The 22446-nt window shown below is 43.4% G+C and overlaps 1 protein-coding gene and 1 long non-coding RNA gene across 2 annotated transcripts in view; one reads left to right on the top strand and one right to left on the bottom strand.

Annotated features, from left to right (window-relative positions):
• TC2N (tandem C2 domains, nuclear) overlaps positions 1–22446 on the bottom strand; it is an 87791-nt gene that overhangs the window by 57399 nt on the left and 7946 nt on the right. The window lies entirely within an intron of this gene.
• Positions 2950–9541, top strand: LOC124903362 (uncharacterized). Its single transcript, XR_007064307.1, has 2 exons — positions 2950–3064; positions 9183–9541. It is a non-coding gene; the product is annotated as an uncharacterized LOC124903362 (long non-coding RNA).

Genomic DNA, 22446 nt, shown 5'->3' on the forward strand with positions numbered 1-22446 from the left:
GGGCTTCCTTGGTGGAAATCTCAACACTGCTTGGAAATGAGTTTCCTAGACTGTCTGATGAAGAATGGCTTAGCATTTTTTGTTTGTTTTGTTTTGACAGAGGTTCTGTCGCCCAGGCTGGAGTGTAGCGGTGCGCCCGTGGCTCAGTGCAGCCTCGACCTTCGGGGCTGAAGTGATCCTCCCACCTCAGCCCCTCCGCCAAGTAGCTGGGAATACAGGCGCGAGCCAGCATGCCAGGCTAATTTTTTAATTTTTTGTAGAGATGAAGTCTTATTATATGGCCCAGGCTAGTCTTGAACTCCTGGACTCACGTGATCCTCCCACCTCTGCCTCCCAAAGTGCTCCACCTCCCAAAGTGCTGGGATTACAAGCATTGAGCCACGGTGCCAGCCTGGGTGGTGGGACTGTAAAATTGAAAGAAAGGTTCATACTTTTCCTTCTGGAGAGCAGTCTTTCCCAGAGTGAGTTCTGTCCATCTCAAGGTCCTAGAGATGCTGCAGTGGGAGTAGGGGTAGATCACCAGATCACATTAATGTGGGGGAGAGAGACACAAAATATTTGTTTTCCTTGAGATTCACAATGCATACTAGCATTTTACAGGCATAAGAACCATGTTTTACTTTCTTTGATCCTGCATCTCCCAAATGTGTTTGACCATAGAACTCTTTTCTTGAGAAAGGCCTGTTTCCAATCTTGGGCATTAGTGTTTCAACAAACACTTTGAAAACCACTGCTTTCAACTCCTAGTACGTTCACATTTAATAATGTATCACAAATGTTTGCAAAGTTGTGCACTGTTCACACAAAACTTTCATGAGTCATCTCATTTAATCCTGGAAATTGCAATGTAGCTGTTATTATCTTCATTTTGCAGTTGAAAATATTTAAAGGTCAGACAACCAGTTAGTGGTTGCCCAAACATACAGTCAAGATTTGAATCTGAACTTTGAACTCCAAGGCGTTTTAGACTAATATTCATTCTGTCTCTCTCTCATTTGTTCCTTTTTTTTTTTTTTTTTGGGCAGGCTCTCACTGTTGCCCAGACTGGATTGCAGTGGCACAATCATAGCTCACTGCTGTCTCAAACTCCTGGGCTCCAGCCATCCTCCCACCTCAGCCTCCCAAGTGTGCTGGGACTACAGGCACATACCACCACGCCTGGCTAAATTTTTAAATTTTTTTATAGAGACAGGGTCATGCTTTGCTGTCCAGGCTGGTCTGAAACTCCTGGCTTCAAGCAATCCTCATGCCTCAGCCTCCCAAAGTGCTGGAATTACAGGCATGAGCCACAGTGCCCAGCTTCCCTTGATACCTAAGGAGAGCACATCCTTGGTTAGAAATCACTAGATTCATGTGTTAGTTGAATCTTCTCAAGGGCAAGACCATAACTTTTACTTCCTTGCAGCACCTGACTTAGTGCAGGGCACAAAAGTGTCATTGAAATGTGCTGAATGAATGAAGGAGGAATGAATGCTCAATAACTACTAATTGAAGTGAGCTGATGCTTGGTTCCTTAAATGAACAACTTTAACAAACTCTTCACTGATGCAGAAGTACCAAGAGCAGGAGCTCCCCTAATTGTTCCTAGTTTTCTTCCCTAGTCCATCTTAAAACATTTTCCTAGAAGAATCCTCTCTATTGACAGATACAGTTCTTGTAAAATCATGAAGCCAATTCCTTTGTTTTCCTTGAAATGGGCCTCCTTCCTGTTCTATCTGAGGCAAGGCTACTTGAATGGAGGATATTGTACACCTTTCTTTGTGCTCTTATTTCTAATCTCTTCCCACAAAAGGATCGTCCTCAAAATACTATGAACGGGTTTTTGTTTATTTTTTAATTTAGCAATTTTATATTATTTGAGGCCGATCTAAGGAGAAAAATAGACTGGTCAATATGGATAACGTGGCTGCTTAGATATTACTGTGTGTATCAATTCTTTCATTTGATAGAGACAAATCGCATAATTCCTACTCTAAACCCCTATTCATTCTTTATTTAATGCAGTTTAGAAGTGCTTTGTGACTCAGCCCAAGCCTACCTCTCCAGCCTTATCTCCCAGTATTTCCATCACACCTTTTTGACCTACTGAAGGAATTGCAGTTCCATAAACTGTCGAATTTGCACACACCATTCCCTCTACCCTTCTCTTACAGGTATCAACTAGCAAACTCATGTTCATCCAACCAAGATACCACCTCTTCTAGACAATGAAACCCCACAACACCCATTCCTGACTCAATTAGGTGCCATTTCCCAGCATAACCACCACAATCCATCTGTATCTCTATCATGGTGCCTACATCATAGCTGTGATTACTGGCTTCTTTTCCCACTTCCCTCTAGATGCATTCCAAGTGAGTTACCAATGGGCAGGAATGATGACTTCCACCTCTATTTCCTGAGCACACAGCATAGCACTTGATATAGAAGGCACTCAACAGTTTGTTGAATAAATGAAAACAGCTTTCAAAGAGTATAAATTCCTAGAGTGCTTGTGAAATAATTTTACAAATAAATGGTCATGAATACATTGGGGGTACCAGACAGATTTTTGCTTCTCTCAAAATTATTTCCTTCCCATTTTCTGCCTTAGAACATAACAGCAGAAGCCTATACATATTCATTCATTTCATGTATTTGTTCAAAAAATATTTCTGAGTGCCTGCCATGTAACAGGTGCAGTACTAGGCACTTGCTTCAGAGAGGAAGTGACATTTCAAAAGTGTCATGGATGCTCACCAAACCTCAATTCCTCTCCCTGGGCATGAAGCTAAACTGCTTTGCCTAGCCACTCCCCTTGCATCTAGGTAAGGTCATGTGGCCAGTTCTGACCAATGGAATTTGAGCAGAAATAGAGTTTCACTTCTGCATCTAGGCAACTAAGAACAGGTGAGCCTTCACCCCACTGTCTCCCTCTTTCCATTCCATGACAACCTTGGACTAAACCATGCTAACCATTGCTAAAGCTCACAATACGACAAGATGGGAGAAATGTCTGGGTCCTTGATTGGCTTCATAGAACAAAGCTCTCTCCACTGCCCACTAACTTTGATTGGATGGTGATGTGAGTGAAAAATATATTTTATTGTGTTAAACCACTAATATTTGGGGTTTTTTTCTAACACCTGGATTTACTTACTCTGATAGGCACTGTCATGAATGATGACATATAGATTACATTAAACATACCAAAAAAATGTTTCTCATGCTGTAGGCATTCTATGGGAGACATAGAACATGAAAATTTATCAAAGAGCTTATTAAGGTCATAGAAACTTTAAGTTTGTCCCAAGTAGATAAAGAAAAATCTTTATGGATACATAGCTTTCTGTCTCTCAGATGGCCACCTTATCAGAATGCTGACATCTTGACCTGAAAACAAGCACAGAGTCACCATTATGCCTTCTTCATCATCTTTATCTGCACTTCTCTGTCTCTTTCATGCACTTTGAAGGGTTTCCCTGAGTGGGCTTCAGGAGATCCAGTGTTACTCAAAGTCTAGTATATATTCAGGAAAAGAGAAAAATAAAAAGGCTAGGCTCCAAAAGGTCTTGAATAGCTTACTAAGGAATTTGTCCATTAATCCACAGGATACATAGTTGAATAAGCTAGGAACTATTTGTAGTGAGAAGAGTTGCTTTTTTCTTTTTTCTTTCCCTCCCTCATCATCTTACCTGGATAACTGTTACCCACTAAACTAAGGTAACAATGGGATAATGGGTGGTCACAGATGCTCCACCAGGAGAACTAATCATGAGAGTCTCATTTCTCAGTGCCCTCCCACAAAGCCCTTCCTCAAAACACCCATCTGCCTCCTCCAAACCCCAATAATCAATGAAACTTCATAGCACTAAAAGGCTGACACAGTTGTATTAGAGGTGTAAATGAGAAATATTCAGCACCTAGAGCAGGAGGCAATAGCACCAGTGGGGTCAAAGGAAATCTGTGAAGGAGGAAACAAAGAGAGAATCCAAAAACAAAAGAAGGTTTTCCACCAACCACATGATCAACTCACCCAGGCTGAGTAGCTGGTCCAAAGAGGATGACAGCACATGAAACTGCTCAGGATTCAAGAACAAAGGCTCCCAGACTCACTGAGAAGAGCAGAGAAACATCTAAACCCCTATTTCTGTGACCTCTGTATGGACTGGAAGAAATGACTCAAACCTGAAGCAAATGACCCTGCATTCTTCTGGACCCACATCAGCTTGCTTAAGTTGGAACTCCATTTCCCCAAATTTATTTCCCTATATGGTTCCAAGTTAGGTTGGCCAAAAAGAAGAATTGAGGCAAGATTTGGAAGGTGAAAGTGGAGCAGAGCCACTCCCTCTGAAGATCCTCATGACTACACGTGGTGGCAGACACACACAGAGATTCTGGGAGGTTCTTGCTCATCCTCCTCCTCATGTCTAGCTCTTCTTCCCAACTCTAGTCCCTGCTGGCCAGAGGACCCAAGATGACTTGAGAGCTTGGTGGGAGACCTCCAGAAGTGGCAGCTATGTATGGACTTTTCCACAGCCCCCCTCCTGGGTACCACTCCAGCAGTTAGACATGTGCGGCTTCCTAGAATCATTGCAAGTTCTGGCCTTACAAGTCCACCTGTACAGGGCTTCAGGATGGCTGGCTAGTGACTTTTCTCTAACCCTTCAATTCCACTTTCAGACCTTTACTTCACCAGTTTCTCACATAATTCTGCAAGAGATTAGTCCCATTATCAGTAAGACTCTAGTGGTTCTGCTTCCCTGATTAAACCCCTCCAATACATCATTCATGTTCTTGGCTACCTAGCAATAAGATTATGCAGATTGTACCATCCATCCTTCCCTTCCACCTTTTTTTTTTTTTTTTTTGAGACAGGGTCTGGAGTGCAGTGGTGCGATCATGGCTCACTCCAGCCTCCACCTCCCAGGCTCAGCTGGTCCTCCCATCCCAGCCTCCTGAGTAGCTGCGAGTATAGGCATGCCAACACACCCAGCTAATTTTTTGTATTTTTTTGTAGAGACAGGTTTTTACCATGTTGCCCAGAGACAAGGTTTCACCATGTTGCCCAGGCTGGTCTCAAACTCCTGGGTTCAAGCCATCTGCCCACCTCGGCCTCTCAAAGTGCTGAGATTACAGGCATGAGCCTCCACGCCTGACCTCCTTCCCCTACACTATTAAAGGCCAAGTGCTGAAGTTATTTATCTATAGGAACTACAGAAATTTGGGTAAAAATTATGCCCTAGTAGTGGTCTCCCCATGAGAGGGTGACTGGTTGCCCACTGCCTTCACACTGAATTTACATAATAGAACAACTGACTTTCAGCTTTTCGAGCTTAGAAACTTGTTCCTTTTCTCTTTTAGCATACTGAGTAAATCTCTCTTGAAGAAGGAAGTTTGGTCAGGCTCACCAGAAGTAGACAATAGTATGTCTGTCTATTAATATAGAATGAGAAATAGGATTGTTGCAAGGCCCAAACATGTATCTTACTGCCAAAACACTATGCCCTGAAGAAATAGCTATCCAGGAAGCTAAATGATAACCAAACGGTTGCCTGATCAGGGAAATGGAATGAAAATTAGGAGAGTTGGGAGGAATATTGAGCGTTAGCGTTGAGATATGATAGCTACCATCAATACCACAGAAGGGACTAACCTGTCACAGTTGCAGATAAGCTATGTGGTTCCACTTACTGGAGCCACAGTCCTAGTCATATTCCTTCTTTTTAGTAGGTTACAGTATTGGCCCCAGGACTTCATCATGCACTGTATCCATGCCCTTTGCTACGACTTTGAAGTTCCTTCCACTGAAGGAGTGGAGTATATTTCCCTACCCGTTGATTTTGGGTTCAGCCACATGATTTGCTTTGGTCAACAGAATGAAATGGAAGTAATCGTGTTCAGTTCTGCACTTAGGCCTTAAGAGACTTCATGTGTTTCTGCTTGCCTTCTTGTACTTCTACCAATGCTAGAAGACTTCCCTGGGCCAGCCAGCTGCTCCAAGGAGGGTAAGACACCCTAAAGCAGAGTCATGCCAGGTAAACCCAGCTGAGAACAGCTAATCCCCAGCTGCCCAGCAAGCGTGAGAAATAAAAGATGATTTTTTTTTTGTACCATGGCATTTTGGGAATATTTGTTACATAGAAATAGTTACCTGACATGTCCTCCCACCATGATTTTCTGGAATGGAGAATATCTAACCCCATCATGACCCCAGAGTTCCAGACCAATGTGCCCAGGACTCCCCTCTCAAGTCACTGGGCAGCACCAATTTAGCCAATAGTAAGTTAGAGGATTCAGTTTCTCACCCTCAATACAATTCACTTGAAATTTTCTGTCCTTTGGGTTAGATATAAAATCTAAATATTTTTTAATAACAGAGATGAGAAAGATTTAACAACTTTTCAGAAAGTTACTGCTGAATATTAGTGATTGTACATGCCACTCAAAATCACTGTGTGAAATAACATTCGAAGCCTATCATTTGTAACTTCTGCTTTCATCAGAGTTTTAGGAAAACACCTACGCCCAGCAAAATCCCCAGGGAGTTTTAGGACGCCAAAGCTTTCCTCATCTGTTTTTAAACCCACTCCACATCCATAAAGATAATTCATGAATAAATGTGGTTGGCAGATGAACCCAATATTCAAGGACATCTTTTTTAAGCCTTTAGTTAAGACCTTTGGTTTATTAGTTTACACGTTAGTCTCTCTATGAATTAGAAGTGGAGGGAGGGGCTCAAAATGCTTTATAATCCTATTTTTTTTCAGACATTCCCTCTTTCTCCACCACTCCCAGCCTTTCACTATCTTCCTCCACCCTTCTAGCTTATGAAGGGACTAATGATGTTGGGATAGTTTTTGAGGAAATGTGGGAGCTCTGTAATCCATTTCCTACTTGACGTGGGTTACATTTTTACCAGAAGAAAGGAAAAAAAAATGCAAATATATTTCCAGCACAGTTGGGCGGCAGCTCCATAAAGTGGCTTTTAAAGAGTTATCCCATTGCCCTGAGAGTTGACAGCACTCCAGGGAGGGGACAGGGTCTGTGAGGGCCAGAGAGGCATACCCTTCCATTCCTAAGTAACATCCCCCCAGGAAACAATTTGGCGTTTCCTACAAAACATGAACTTGTTTGGCAGCCTGAGCAACTCATCACTCCTGTTCATCTCATATTGCTTGCCTGATTAATAACAATGACATAGTGAATACAACTTCAATAGGAAACGGGGGAGGAAGAGCCAAACAACATCCTTGCCAAACAAACGCACATGCCCACAGACTCACACACCCCAATATATAAAGCCACTCTTAAAATGTTGGGAAATATAAAAATGTTTCCATCAAAACCATCTTATGGGCCCAACGTGGTGGCTCACGCCTGTCATCTCAGCACTGTGGGAGGCCGAGGCGGGCAGATCATGAGGTTAAGAGATCAAGACCATCCTGGCCAACATGGTGAAACCCCGTCTCTACTAAAAATATAAAAATTAGCTGGGCATGGTGGCACATGCCTTAGTCTCAGCTACTCGGGAGGGTGAGGCAGGAGAATCGCTTGAACCCGGGAGGCGGAGGTTGCAGTGAGCCGATATTGCACCACTGCACTCCAGCCTGGGCGACAGAGCGAGACTCTGTCTCAAAAAAAAAAAAAAAAAAAAAAAAAAAGCCACCTTATGTTACTGGCAGGGACCAGGGTCAAAGATTACTTCCTTTCTCCCATCCAAATAGTACATCAACATACTTGGGGATGACAATAGCTGTCATTCTTCATGGACCTACTACGTGCCAAACACTGTGTTAATGGTCCATATAAGTAAGTGTGTATACATTGGCTGGGTGCGGTGGCTCATGCCTGTAATCCCAGCACTTTGGGAGGCTGAGAAGGGGGTGGATCACTTGAAGCCAGGAGTTTGAGACCAGCCTGGCCAACATGGCGAAACCCCGTCTCCACAAAAATTAGCCGGGTGACGTGGCGCACACCTGTAATCCCAGCTACTCGGGAGGCTGAAGCAGGAGAATCACTTGAACCCGGGAGATGGAGGTTGCAGTAAGCAGAGATGGTGCCACTGCATTCCAGCCTGGGCAGCAGAGTGAGTGAAACTCCATCTCAAAATAAATAAATAAATAAATAAATAAATAAATAAATAAATATGTTTATACGTCTAGTCTAATTCTTGCAACAACCATTTAAGAATTAGTAGGCATTATCTAGGCATTACAGATAAGTAACTTCTCCAAGATCACAAAGAAGTAATGGTACAGATTGGATTTGAACCCAAAGCTATGTGTGACTCTAAAGCTCAAGCTCCTTTTGTTAAGTCACAGATTTAGTTGGTAAATTGTAAAGCCTAGACTTAAGGTTGTTTCCTTACTCAAAGCCCATTGGAATTGTCATCTCTTCTGTGGGTCCTTGACTTGTTCTGGACAGAATTCTGATGGTTACAAGTAACAGAAAACCTCTCCAATTAGCTCAAGTAAAAGGCAGGGAATGGTATTCTATTCCTACCCTTACTTTGGGTAAGGGAACATATATGGGAACATATTCAGAGAACTGAACAAGCAGGCATCAGAAAGTGCAGGACCTAAGGTAGCCCAGACACCCCTCAGCCTCGCATTCCATGAAGACTGCTTCTTTTTGCACACCTGCACATCCCAATCAGCTTATCTGAGTCACCAGTCTCTCAAAGCTGCAGTCTACACCTGATTCTCTAATTACTTCCTCAATGGTATATCTATCCAGCCTCTGGGCTCAGGAGCCACCACCTTAGAAGTAAGTGCTTCTCCCTTCCCAGTTTTCTGGGAGAGGAATCTGATTTGCTCAGCTCATATTTTCCAGTCAGGCCACACACAAGGTACAAATTGCTGGCTAGTCTATGGTTGGGCACCCGTTGATCAGATGTTTACCCTGGTCCACTTCAGAGGTAGCTGGGGAGAAGAGGGTCAAGGGATCTGCTGCTGCACCTCTGGGCAGGGAAGTACCCTGAAATCCAACAGATAGACGCTCAGCTTTTTCTCTCCTTTCTTTCATAAGACTGTCACACCTGCATTAGGATTGGATTTTAAGTAGCCTCCCATTGCTCTCCAACTGCCCTCTACTTATTTTCTAGATTCTTACAGTAACATCTTATTGGGGTTCTATCTGCAATGGCCTTATCAGAGTGCTAAAAACACAGTGGACACTAAAAAATGATTTGTTGTATTTAGGTAGAGTTCATCGTGGAGAGGACCAAGACAGAAGATCAAGAAGAATTTTTTTTTTAATCTCTTCCCTTGTCCACCGAAAGACCATCAAAACTAGAGAGAGATTATCAAATGCCTGGTGACAAGTCCTCGGCTGCACTGGCTTCACAGGAGCTTATGTGGAGAAGAAAAAGAATTTGAGCCACAGCAACGAAACTCTAAAGTTGTTTCCAACTCTCTTACCAAAAGAGGCATCCAGCCCAACAGCTCTCAACCTGGAGTAAAGCTCCCACGTGCCCTGTGGAGCATCCTCGCTTTGATTCCATCCCTTTACTCCCATTCAGAGAATTCTACTTGAATTTAAATAAATGACTCTTCTGCTATTATTGTGGTAAGCTTGATTCTGCTGTGATTTGAAAAGAACAAAAAATAAATTATTGCAAAACCTTTGTATTAAATTACTGGTAACAAATTACTGGTAACTTTGCTACAATTGGCATTGTGACTGAGGGCTGTTCGTTAAGGACATTCTGCTGCCCATGGCTGAGGTGACACTAACTGTATCAACAAGGATGTTTTCAGCCCCAGATAAACAGAAAACCCATGAAAAAGGATGCTTTCAGCCCCAAATAAATAACAGAAAACCCAATTCGAATGGTCATAAAAACAAGGAGGCCAGGCGCGGTGGCTCACGCCTATAATCCCAACTCTTTGGGAGGCCGAGGCAGGCGGATCACCTGAGGTCAGGAGTTCAAGACCAGCCTGGCCAACGTGGTGAAACACCATTCTACTAAAAACTACAAAAATTAGCCAGGCGTTGTGGTGGGCGCCTATAATCCCAGCTACTCAGGAGGCTGAGGTAGGAGAATTGCTTGAACCCGGGAGGCAGAGGTTGCAGTGAGCCGAGATCACGCCACTGCACTCCAGCCTAGGTGACAGAGCAAGACTCCATCTCAGAAAAAAAAAAAAAAGGAAATGTTTTAGTTTCTGCAATGGTTTAAATCGTCCACAGTTCTTTGAAACTCCTTTCAACAAAAGCTGGAACCTGTGTCCTCTGAACTGCATCTAGGCTAACCATAGTGACTGGTCAACCAGCAAAGTAGATTGGAAATGATGCTATGTGATGGCCAATGCTAGGTCAGATAAGGTGATGCAGTTTCTACATAGTTATCTTTGTGTGCTTACTCTTGGAATCCAGCTACCATGCTCTAAGGAAGCCCACACAGTTTGTGGAGACCCAAATGAAGAGGGCCACGTAGAAAAGAATAAGGCCCATGACCTTCACATCTGACTGAGCCAGCATTGACTTTCCAGTTTGTGAGGGAGCCGTCTTGGAAGTGGATCCCCCTGGTCCTGGCTAAGCTTCCCCACCTGACCCCTTGTGGAGCAGATATAAGCCTTTCCCACTCAGCCCTGCCCACATTGCAGATTCATAAACTAAATAACGATAAAATGCTGTTGTTTTGAGCCACTGTTTGGGAAAGGTTTGTTGCACAACAATAGATAACTAATATGGTTAACCTATGAGGAAATCCAAAGATAGATCAGCCTTCAGAGTCATTGATTTGCAATTCAACCATTTAGCATTGAGTGTTTTCCTTCCCTTTTCTCTGTTCTGCATTATGTAAGTTTCATCCTAAATCTAGTTCCATTTGTGGTTGTAGAATGGCTACCAGGGGAAGACCCTCCTCCTTCAATTCAGGTGAAGAGAATAGAATGAATTCCCCTGGAATGCTCTTAAGAGAAAGTAACTTTCCAAGAAGCCAGCAAACCTCTTATCCCTTTGGCCAGAATTAGGTCACATGCTTATTTTTGAACCAATACTGGCAAAGAGGATAAGATATCATTTTGACTAATCAGGCCTATCCCTTAAATTGAGACCAATTTCCCAAACCACATGGCTGCTGCTTATGGGATAGAATGGATGTTGGGAAAGTCGCTTCACCAAGTTAAGATATCTGAAAGAAGGGACAGGTAAATGAGAAAACCCTCAGGTGGTGGCCAGCCCGGGCACATAACTAAGAGAAAACCCACAGGATTAGGAGTATCCTGGGTAAGCCAGTCGAGGGTCTAGCATGATACAGATTGTCTACTTTCAAGACCCATGTGACTGCAGACCTTCCCTTTATCCCCTTTTCTGGCATCTCCCATTTTTGTTACCTGTCTTACCTTCATCAGCCATCTGCGTATTTATTCCAGCTCCCTTGCAAGTGTCAGCCTAGTGGGAGGAAAATGCACTATCCAACTTCTGGTAACTTTATTCCAATTTCTCTCTGAAGAAAAACCTCCTGACATATGTAAGGGTTGGTGTCATTATTTTTCCCATTTTTGCCAATGAAATAGCTAAGGCTTTATGATAGCCTTGGGAAGATTACTTCTCCCTGGATCCGTCTACTCACATGAAAAATGAAGGGAGTAGACCAGAAGATTAATAACCTCTTGAGCTCCAGGAGTTTCTGTACTCTTACTCCTATCTTTTCCAAGATGACTACAGCCATGCCTGAAAATTCGTATCATTTGTTGCTGCAATGCTGTATGCCTAGCTCTTCATAGTCATCATCTCCCCAACATTCACTATTTTGCTTTCACCGCTTTGGGCCATCTGCAAATCCTGCCTTCCTTTTTCACTTTCTGGGCAGGATGTCACTAAAAGTAATGAGGATTCCTTAGTTTTACTACGTGGCTTTTTCCTGTTTCTACCTTTGACCTTGTGCTGCCACCTTTAAACACAGCACAACAGTGTAGTGGAGTTCAGCAAACATTTAATTTCCAGAAATTTAATAGGATATTTCCTGAAAAAACATTTGTGTGAATTAAGTGTAGGAGACTCAGAGTCGACATCTGCTTTTAGTCTCATCATGAGGACCACTCTTCCTCCATTCCAAAGTTGCGTGGCTGCTGTGATTTCCCACTATTTCACTTCCCCAGTAAGAGTTGATTGGTTCATGAGATGGTATCTAACCCAAGGCGGTCAATCAAAATCCTTCCCTAGAATTTGTTTTAAAACTGTAACTAGAAAAAAAAAACAGTCCTCTTTATAGTGACACAAGACACTTTGGTGGCCACGTTTCCCAGGTAGAACAGGTCAATCCATAATAAAAGACAGTGAAGTTGATGTGCTGAGAGAAGTAAAGATAAGAGATGGTGAAGGATTCCAAAGGCATTAGATTTCTTGGTTGCATTCTTGGTTGAATTCACCTCTACTTTTCCCCTAGTACTAGTACACAAATCACACCAGGTATAAGCCCATAAATAATATATTTTGCCTAAGTTAATACATGTTTAGTTCTTGTCACTTAAACACAAGAGATTTAATATGAGTACTCAGAAAACTGTGTCCCTCTAAGATTCTTTGGAACTGAGTCTTTAGCATTTTTATTCGACTATGATTTGCATAAATGTTTATTTTCTTTAATTGCTTGCCTCTGAGTATTTGTTTATGGCATTAAAGATGGGGTTTAGAGGCCAGGCACAGTGGCTTACCCCTGTAATCCCAGCACTTTGGGAGGCCAAGATGGGTGGATCACCGGAGGTCAGGAGTTTGAGACCAGCCTGGCCAACATGGTGAAACCCTGTCTCTACTAAAAGTACAAAAAATTAGCTGGGCGTGGTGGCATGCGACTGTAATCCCAGCTACTCGGGAGGCTGAGGCAGGAGAATCACTTGAACCTGGGAGGTGGAGGTTGCAGTGAGCCCAAATCACACCATTGCATGCCAGCCTGGGCAACAAGAGTGAAACTCCATCTCAAAAAAAAAAAAAAAAAGATTGGGTTTAAAAAATGGGATTTAGAGGCAGAAAACCTGAGTTGAAGTTCTGGCATTAATACTTTTTAAACATGGTGACAGTGCAAGAGCCTCCCTGAGCCTCAATCTCTTTCCTAAAAAAAAAAAGGGATAATTATAATTGTTGCCCTAGCAACCTCTCAGAGTCATGATGATAATCAAAATAAGAAAATGGGGAGGGATGGGGCCATATTCATCTTTGCATTTCTAATGTCTACTTTAAAGCCTAGGACAGTATAGTACATACTGAACAAATATTTGGTGAATGAAAGAAAAAACACAAAAGCATACACTATAAAGCGGGGGTCCCCAAACCCCAGGCCACGGATCAGTACCAGCCTGTGGCCTATTAGGAACCAGGCCACACAACAGGAGTTGAACAGCAGGTGAGCGAGTGAAGCTTCATCTGTATTTACAGCCTCTCCCCATCACTCATATTACCACCTGAGCTCTGCCTCCTGTGAGATCAGTGGCAGCATTAGATTCTCATAGGAGCACAAACCTTACTGTGAACTGCGCACGTGAGGGATCTAGGTTTCATGCTCCTTATGAGAATCTAATGCCTGCCCAGGCACAGTGGCTTACGCCTGTAATCCCACCACTTTGGGAGGCCAAGGCCGGCAGATCATGAGGTCAGGAGTTCAAGACCAGCCTGGCCAACACTGTGAAACCCCTTCTCTACTAAAAATACAAAAATTAGCCAGGTGTGGTGGCAGGAGCCTGTAATCCCAGCTACTCAGGAGTCTGAGAGAGGAGAATTGCTTGAATTCAGGAGGCGGAGGTTGCAGTGAGCCGATATTGCACCACTGCACTCCAGCCTGGGTGACAGAGCAAGACTCCATCTTGGAAAAAAAAGAAAAAAATATCTAATGCCTGATGAGCTATCACTGTCTCTCACCACCCTCAGGTGGGACCATCTAGTTTCAAGAAAACAAGCTCAGGGCTCCCACTGATTCTACATTATGGTGAGATGTATAATTATCTAATTATATATTATAATGTAATAATAATAGAAATAAAGTGCACAATAAATGTAATGTGCTTGAATCATCCCAAAACCATCCCCTCACCCCTAGTCCATGGAAAAATTGTCTTCCACGAAACTGGTCCTGCTGCAAAAAGATTGGGGACCACTGTTCTGAAGGACTATTTAAATGCGAATTATATAATGAAGACCACTTTACAATAATACAGGGTGTGTATAAATATTAACACTGGCAACTTACGTTGGTCTTGGGCTGAATGACAATTTCAGTGTCATGAACAGAGCTTCCTATAAACAAGCTGTAAAGTGAGTGGAATTTGTGGACAGTACCTCTCCAACCTTTCTTTGGTTGTTCTCCCTCTGTGTGGTCTAAATAGAGTGTCAAGGTGTGTCTGGTCCCAAGTTCTGTAAGTGGCCAGTGCTCTAGAGCTGTTTGATGCTGTTGCCGTAGCGTCGGAATGAAGAAGGAAGTTTTAAAAATCACCTAAGGCTCTTTCACTTATAATTAGCACATAAACTTACCTGTCCCTTTGAAGTATCACAATGGCTGAGGCTCTCACAAAATTCTCAGGCTGAAAATTGCCTATTTATAACTTCTTTTTCTCTTCCCAAATGCCTATGTAAAATTATTCAAAGAAGACATGCAGATCCAAGAAGCACACTAGCCTGGTGCCATTCAGCATATGGGCAAACAGACCTCCACACTGTATTATGCCACCAATGTTTATCCTGGATCATCATGAAGTAAAACTCTATACGTGGTGGAGTCTAGCTACTAAGACAAAAAGTGGTCCACACTTTATTTTTAGCATCCATCAAAATAACTAAAGTTATTTAAAGGTTTAGTGCTTCAAAAAGTATTTTCTGAATTATCTGAAGTACATTTCCCAAAATGATTCATTTTCTAACTATTCAAGATGGCCTTAGTTTTCAAGTATCATTGCTCATTCAATGCTTCAATAAGTTAATCACAGGTACTAGATTCCCATAATGTAAATTTCACAATCCTTAACATTGTACTTGTGAAAACAGACAGTCTCTCAGCAATAGGCATACTCTATTGGAATAAAAATGCGGCCAAGCGCGGTGGCTCACGCCTGTAATCCCAGCACTTTGGGAGGCCGAGGCGGGCAGATCACCTGAGGTTGGGAATTTGAGACCAGCCTGAACAACATGGAGAAACCCCGTCTCTAGCTAAAAATACAAAAACCTTAGCCGGGTGTGGTGGTGCATGCCTGTAGTCCCAGCTACTCGGGAGGCTGAGGTAGGAGAATCGCTTGAACCCAGGAGGCGGAGGTTGCGGTGAGCGGAGATCATGCCATTTCACTCCAGCCTGGGCAACAACAGTGAAACTCCGTCTAAAAAAAAAAATGCTCTGCCTCACTAGCCTTAACTTTTTCAATCGGGAAACCTGCCTTTGATCACATTTCCTAAAGCAAAGATTGTTGTGAAAGAATAGAGTATCAAGAATTTTTGAATTTTGTTACCCCCACCAATAGATCACTAACTGGTTGTTTAAAGCAAATGATCTCCCACTTTCCTACCTTAATAGATGTAATATAATGTGTGTGCTTTAATCTTAGCTTGACCAGTAAACCATACCATGTCAAGAAATTTGCATGACATGTTTGAGGAACAGTGAGAGGGCCAGACCCACTGGAGCAAGAGAAAGAGAAAGAGAAGGGTAGGAAGAGAGGGCAGAAGAACATGGGGTAGAGTTGGCCAGGCATAGTGGCTCACGCCTGGAATCTCAGCACTTTGGGAGGCAGAGGGGGCAGATCATGAGGTCAGGAGATCGAGACCATCCTGGCTAACACGGTGAAACCCCGTCTCTACTAAAAATACAAAAAATTAGCCAGGCGTGGTGGTGGGTGCCTGTAATCCCAGCTACTCGGGAGGCTGAGGCAGGAGAATGGCGTGAACCTGGGAGGCAGAGCTTGCAGTGAGCTGAGATCCCGCCACTGCACTCCAGCCTGGGCGACAGAGAGAGACTCCATCTAAAAAACAAACAAACAAACAAACAACGACAACAAAAACACAACATGGCTGTTATTAAACATTTGCTGCTACTCTAAATAGGCTGAGAAGCCATTGGAGAGTTTGGAGTTGAGAAATGACATGAACTGATTTCACCTTAGTACAGATCACTCCAACTGTTGGGTTGAGAATAGAATGGAAGGGACAGGGGCAGAGGTGAAGGCAGAGGGACCAGGTAACTGATTCTGCCTATAATGAAGGTGAGAGAGGAAGGTGGCTGGGACTCAGGGTGTAGGAGTGAAGGTGCCAGGTATGAGGGTTAAATGATATATACACAGCATAATAATTGGCACAGTCAGTCCCCAGTAGATGTTCACTGCGATAATGGCATTCTGAACCCCAAGACTCAATAGTAGATGGTTGGTTCATTGCATGGCAGACCCAGGTAAGTGATTACAAACTAGATAGTTGATGTCAGAATTAGAAAAGGAACTTTTTGAACATTTCTGCATGTATCAATTGAAGTGAAATTGAGTCAAAAGTAAGAGTTCATGCTGCCCTTCACTGAATTCTCTGCTTGGATTTTTTTTTTTTTTTAAAGTACACACACACACACACACACACACACACACACACACACACAATCTGTGATCAAAAAAGTTATTGAAGTGCTGCAGTTGCCCAGAATTCAGCCTGACCTTGCAGCACTCCTAGTTATTAAAAATCATTTCTATGGGCTTGCATTTTTTGGTTTAACAAGCACAAGAGGCCATGAACTCTTAATATCTGAAGCAAACGTGTTAAACATCTGGGATCTGGCATAAGCTTCTCCTGTGGGATGCATTGTTTGTGCAAACTTTTATTGAATTAAAAAAAAAAGTAAGTACTGAGTTTCAAAATATTCGTGTAACCTAGTAAGAATATTTCTCTGAATCCAGAGTCAAAATACAGAGTTTTAAAAACTGATTTATAAACTTAAATTTAAAAATAGGTTAGAAGTCTTAAAACACAGCGTGGTTTTGAAGTGGAACCAAACTTCAGCTCTAGCTCTAACAGGAGATGGCTGATCTAAGTTAAATAGGTTTTTCCAGGCTAAAGGCACAGCTTCTGACCACTCTAAGAAAGCCATAGGGTTTGCAGACAGGGTACTGGCCTAGAGTTTAGGGCAAGTTCTGTGGCTTAAACACAGATAATCTTGGGCAACTTACTTTACCCTGGGCTTGATTTTCCTTATTTCCTATAGAAACTGGAAGGAAAAATACTTACCCATGGGTCTTAGAAATGTACGAGGATAAGAAATAAAATAAAATAGCAAGTGACAGAACTTTTAAAAGCTCTACACATAAGATGAGGAGGAGGAGGAGGAGGAGGGGGAGGGGGAGGGGAAGGAGGAGGAGGAGATAGGAGAGGGGGAGGGGAAGGAGGAGGAGATAGGGGAGGTGGAGAGGAGGAGAAGGAGGTGGAGGAGGAGGAGGAGGAGGAGGAGGAGGGGGTAAAACATAAGAGATTCCTATTTGAAGATGCAAAAGACCAAACAAACTGAACAAAGCTTTTTAAAGAAGAAAGACTAAGGGTTGTCTTTGGAGTGTTCCTCTAGGGAGGGACAACCTCTTGTATTCCTTTAGTATCTCCTTGAAGCACCCAGGGAAGCATTCAGACACAGGGGACAGTCTTATCAGTCTAGACTAACTGACAGACGGACAGGTCCCTCTCCACTTCCACAATCCATACCCTGAATATTCTGAGGAGTAGGGGAGAGCAAAGCCTGGCTCAGCCCACCCCATTGCCTCTGCTAGACTGAAGGACAGGAAATAGAGAAGGAGCCAGTCCTCCCCAAAGAGGGATAGGGATAGCTTTTTAAACTCACCTCTCCCTTCTGAGAGGAGGCTGCTATTCCTTGCAACGTATTTTTGTGCAGCTGAGGATCTGGAGGGGTTCTGACCTGAACAATGGGCTGGGAGCTGAGTTTGGGAGCTGGAGTTCTGCATAATAGAGTAGGATGAATTTGGAGTTTGGGGACTGTGTAGAAAGAGGAGATGAAGAAACAAGTTGAGCAGGGGAAAGGAAGGATGGGTGGTTGAAGTGGGAACCAGTGGAACGGCAGGGATGGAGGGCTGAAAAGCAGGTTCGCTTCTGTCCCACCTTCCACTCCCAAATCCTCAGGAAATTTGCCTACAGACCCAAATGCAAATGCACTGTATTAATTTCTAGGGCTGCTGTACAATGTACCACAAACCGAGTGGCTTAAAACAACAGACGTTTATTCTCTCACAGTTCTGGAGGCCAGAAGTCCAAAATCAAGGAGTCAGCAGGGCCATGCTCCCTCCAGAGGCTCTAGGGGAGAATCCTTCCCTGCCTCTTCCTAGCTTCTGTTGGTCATGTAAATCCTTGAAGTTCCTTGGCTTATAGCCTCAAAACTCCAACTCTGCTTCCATCTTTGTGTGGCCGCCCTCTTCTCTGTGTATCTTTGTGTGTCCTCTTGTAAGGACATCAGTCATTGGATTTAGAGCTCACCCTATTCCAGCATGACCTTATCTTAACTTGACTAATTACATGTGCAAAGATCCTGTTTCCAAATGAGGTCACGTTCTGATGTTCCACATAGACATATATTTTCAGGAGGACACTATTCAACTCACTACAGTGTTGTTTATTTTTGTTTTTATGGAAATTGAGTAAGAGGTAGAATCTCATGTCAGGGCCAACTGGCAAGGGACGATTGGATGGTGCGGGGCGAGGGGAGTTGTGGCAGTGGTAAAAATGGCCTGTGAACCAAACGAATTCAAGGGAAGTGCCGAGGTTGGAGTCAGAAGTGACCATGAAAATAAAAGCTCCCTCCACTTCCTATGGGAGTTTTTAGAAGTGTGGGAAGACTTTGGAATTCTACAGGGCAGGGAGTAAGTTCAAAGTAATATCATCTAGATCTCAAAGGCCAGGAAACCACAGCTGACTTCTGGGTTACAAATAAAACAAAGACATATGAGAGAGGAGAAAAAAAGATGAAGCAGAAGGAAGGACAAAAGGTGGAGAGATGAGCATGAAAGACAGATGAGTTTTTGAAGAGAGACAAGGAAACGAAAAAGCACCAGCTCTTTGGGGTCAGGGTTAAGGCTCTAACACAGAATCTGGCATATAAAAAGTATTCAAGATACTTTTAAGGGCCAGGCGTCCTGGCTCACACCTATAATCCCAGCATTTTGGGAGGCAGAGGTGGGCGAATCACTTGAGGTCAGGAGTTTGAGACCAGCTTGGCCAACATGGTGAAACCCTGTCTTTACTAAAAAATACAGAAAGGGCATGGTGGTGCACACCTGTAGTCCCAGCTACTCGGGAGACTAAGGCACAAGAATCACTTGAACCTGGGAAGCAGAAGTAGTTGCAGTGAGGTGAGATCGTGCCATTGCACTCCAGCCTGGGTGACAAAGTGAGACCTTGTCTCAAAAAAAAAAAAAAAAAGACAAGTTTAGGGAAGAAAAAAGGAAGATAGGGAGGAGGGAGAGCTGTGCCTGGGAGGCTTCATGTGGTATCACTAACAATTTCCTCCGCTGTCCCCAGAGCTGTCTATACTGTGGCTGTTTGTTCATGACCCTAATTAATGTCAAAGCCCAGAGTGCCATATGGGAGCCCTCTCTGCACCACAGGCCTTTAGACCGAAGAGGCAGCAGTCCATCTTCCACCAAGGCCTCTGGATTCTCTCTATCCTTTTCCAGTGATGCTTATTCTATCTAAACTCTCATTTGAGTGGCCATATACCCTGGCCTCTTGGTGTTTTTTGCTGTCCCTAGTGCCACCAGAGTTTACCTTACCTTGAAAGGTCACAGAAGTGGTCTAAATTAGGAAATATCCTTCAACGCCAAAAGGCAAGGAGAGCCCCGTGGATTAAGCCAGCTGTTTTCAGATCACTTGAGATACAAGTAGTTACAACAGTTTAGGATTGGAAAGATCCTGTGGTTTATGAGAAAGAGCGCTAGACCAAGAGGTAGATCAAGCAAGAGACCCATCTGCCAATCTGCCACTCACTCCCAGCGTTCCCTGGAGCTAGTCAATGCCCCACTCCAACCTCAGAGTCCTCATTGTAAAGGCAGTTGGCCCTCATGACAGAATTTCTAGATCCTTTCAGTTGTCATGGACTATATTCTATACTTTTCTGGAAGCATTCTCAACAAAATATAATTAAAATTACCTCCCTGGTACACCCATAGTGTATTTCCAGAGGGAAAACGTTGCTAGAAACTCCATTCCCAGTTTGTAGAAAGTGGCCAGGAAATGGGTCTGATTTCAAATCTTTCTGAAATGCAACGAGAGGAAAGCACTGAGGGAATGCCGAAGTGGGGCCACTTTAGTCTCCCAAGTCCCAGGAACCGTTTATAAACCGAGTCGTGGCTTGGGTGAATGGCTTGGGTATTTGGAACATTTGACGTGAAGAAAGATGTAGGGGCACCTGCTGCTTTCTCAGACAATAGGGAAGAAAAACACCAAGCACCTCCACACACATCATCTTATTTCTCAAAACAACTGGAGCCGGTATTATTATCCCCATTTAACAGATGAGAAAAGTGAGGCTCAAAGAACCTCAGTAAATTAGTCCAGGTCACAAACTAGTAAGTGGCAGGGTTGAGACCCAAATTCAGGTCTATTCAACTCCAATCCCAGCATTCCTTCCACTATTGGCAACAGATTCGCACTATGATGTACAGTCGCCTGAACCACAACAAAATTCCTCTAAAGAACCAGAGTGGTACCCAGCCCACTTTTCCAAGTTTGGCATAAAGAACAGAGCCATGCATTGAATTGGGAGTAACAGCTGTTTGGCCAGGGACCACAGCAAAAAAGTGTTCATGCAGGGATATTTAACCAGCTCAGTGCCCAGAACAGAGTAGAAGCTTGAAGAATATTTGGGTTTTTGTTGTTGTTGTTCTTTGTTTGTTTGTTTTTTGAGATAGGGTATTACTCTGTTGCCCAGGCTGGAATGCATTGGTGCCATCATGGCTCATTGCAGCCTCAACTTCCTGGGCTTAAGTGATCCTCTCACTTCAACCTCTTGAGTAGCTGGGACCACAGGCATGCACCACTATGCTTGGCTGATTCTTTCTTTCTTCTTCTTCTTTTTTTTTTTTTTTTTTTTGGTAAAGATGGGGTTTCACTATATTTCCTAGGCTGGTCTCAAACCCCTGGCCTCAAGCAATTACCTGCCTCAGCCTCCCAAAGTGCTGAGATTACAGGCGTGAGCCATCACTCCCAGCCAAGAATATTTGTTGAGAAGTTGAGTAAATACAGGATTCAGGGTTGACATCGACATCTTCAGCAGGTTACAAAAGAAGGATCTGAGGCTCAGAGAGGCCAGATGACTTGCCCTAGGTCACACAGCAGAGAGAATTGGACAAAGAACCAAAGATGTCTAGACTTTCAGACAAGGATCTTCCTGTCACATCACCGTAACTCCTCTGGCCAGGAAAATTTTTCCTGTACCTTTAATTAAATGCAGTATACTTTGGGGTAAATGAATGCTAACCTCCAACTGAGAACATTTATTTTCCTAATGAGTTCATTAGCAAATGACTCTGCTGCTTCAGGATGCAGAGATAGCTTGGTTAATGCACGTTTCAGTTTTCATATTATGCTATGAGTCATTTTTGTTTATCTTAGAATTTCTTTCCTCATCTGTTGTGTGTGGTGGCCCTAGTCACCAGGGATAGGAGCTTTGTCACTCACTCAGGAAGTGATGGACTGACCCCCTGCGAGTGGATGAAGAAACTGCTCTCATAAGCGTGGTTATGCAGATCAAAGAGTGGGTCCTCTACACATGTTCCCAATTAACTGTGGCCATCCCATTCCATATCCCTTCTACTCGCCAGCATAGTTTCTGATCCTTTAATAGCCCAAACAACAAGAGGGAAGCCCAGCCCAGCCAAAACAAAAGCAGAAAACAGCCAAACGAAGATGAAAACATCCTAGTGATTAGTGAGAGAGCTCCAGATATCCCAGTATCTGGAGCCACCTCGGGATACTGGGATATTTGGAGCTTCTCACCGCAAGGGGTCACCTTATCTGCACCTGGTGTCACTTCCCACAAGGACCCCAGAGCTCGGTCTCTAGCACCAGACTCTGTGCTTTCATACACACTGCTGGCCATCTTCACAATACCTTCACCCAAATGTGGCCATCTTCAATTCAGCATGTTTTATTTGTCCAGCTGTGTAATTAATATCTATGCATTTAACTGTATGTAAATCTTACCTTAACAAAACATAAAAATTAAAAAAAAAGAAGTAAGTTTAAAATGACATTCACCTTTCCCCTCTACCAAAACTCCTCCTCCTGAGGTCTTTAGCTCACCTCAGGGTGTGCCTTGGCTCCCTAAGCCTCCGTACCCGATCAATCACCAAGACCTATTGATTCCACCCATTCCACTTCTCCTGAAGCTTTCCCCTTCTCTGCATTTTCCCATCATCACATTCTACTCAACCTATTGACACTGACCACCTACTATGGGCCAGGCACTGTGCTAGGCTGTAAGTCTACATTATGAACAACACACAAATA

The sequence above is a fragment of the Homo sapiens genome, chromosome 14, assembly GCF_000001405.40.
Source record: "Homo sapiens chromosome 14, GRCh38.p14 Primary Assembly".
Classification (NCBI taxonomy): Eukaryota; Metazoa; Chordata; class Mammalia; order Primates; family Hominidae; genus Homo; species Homo sapiens.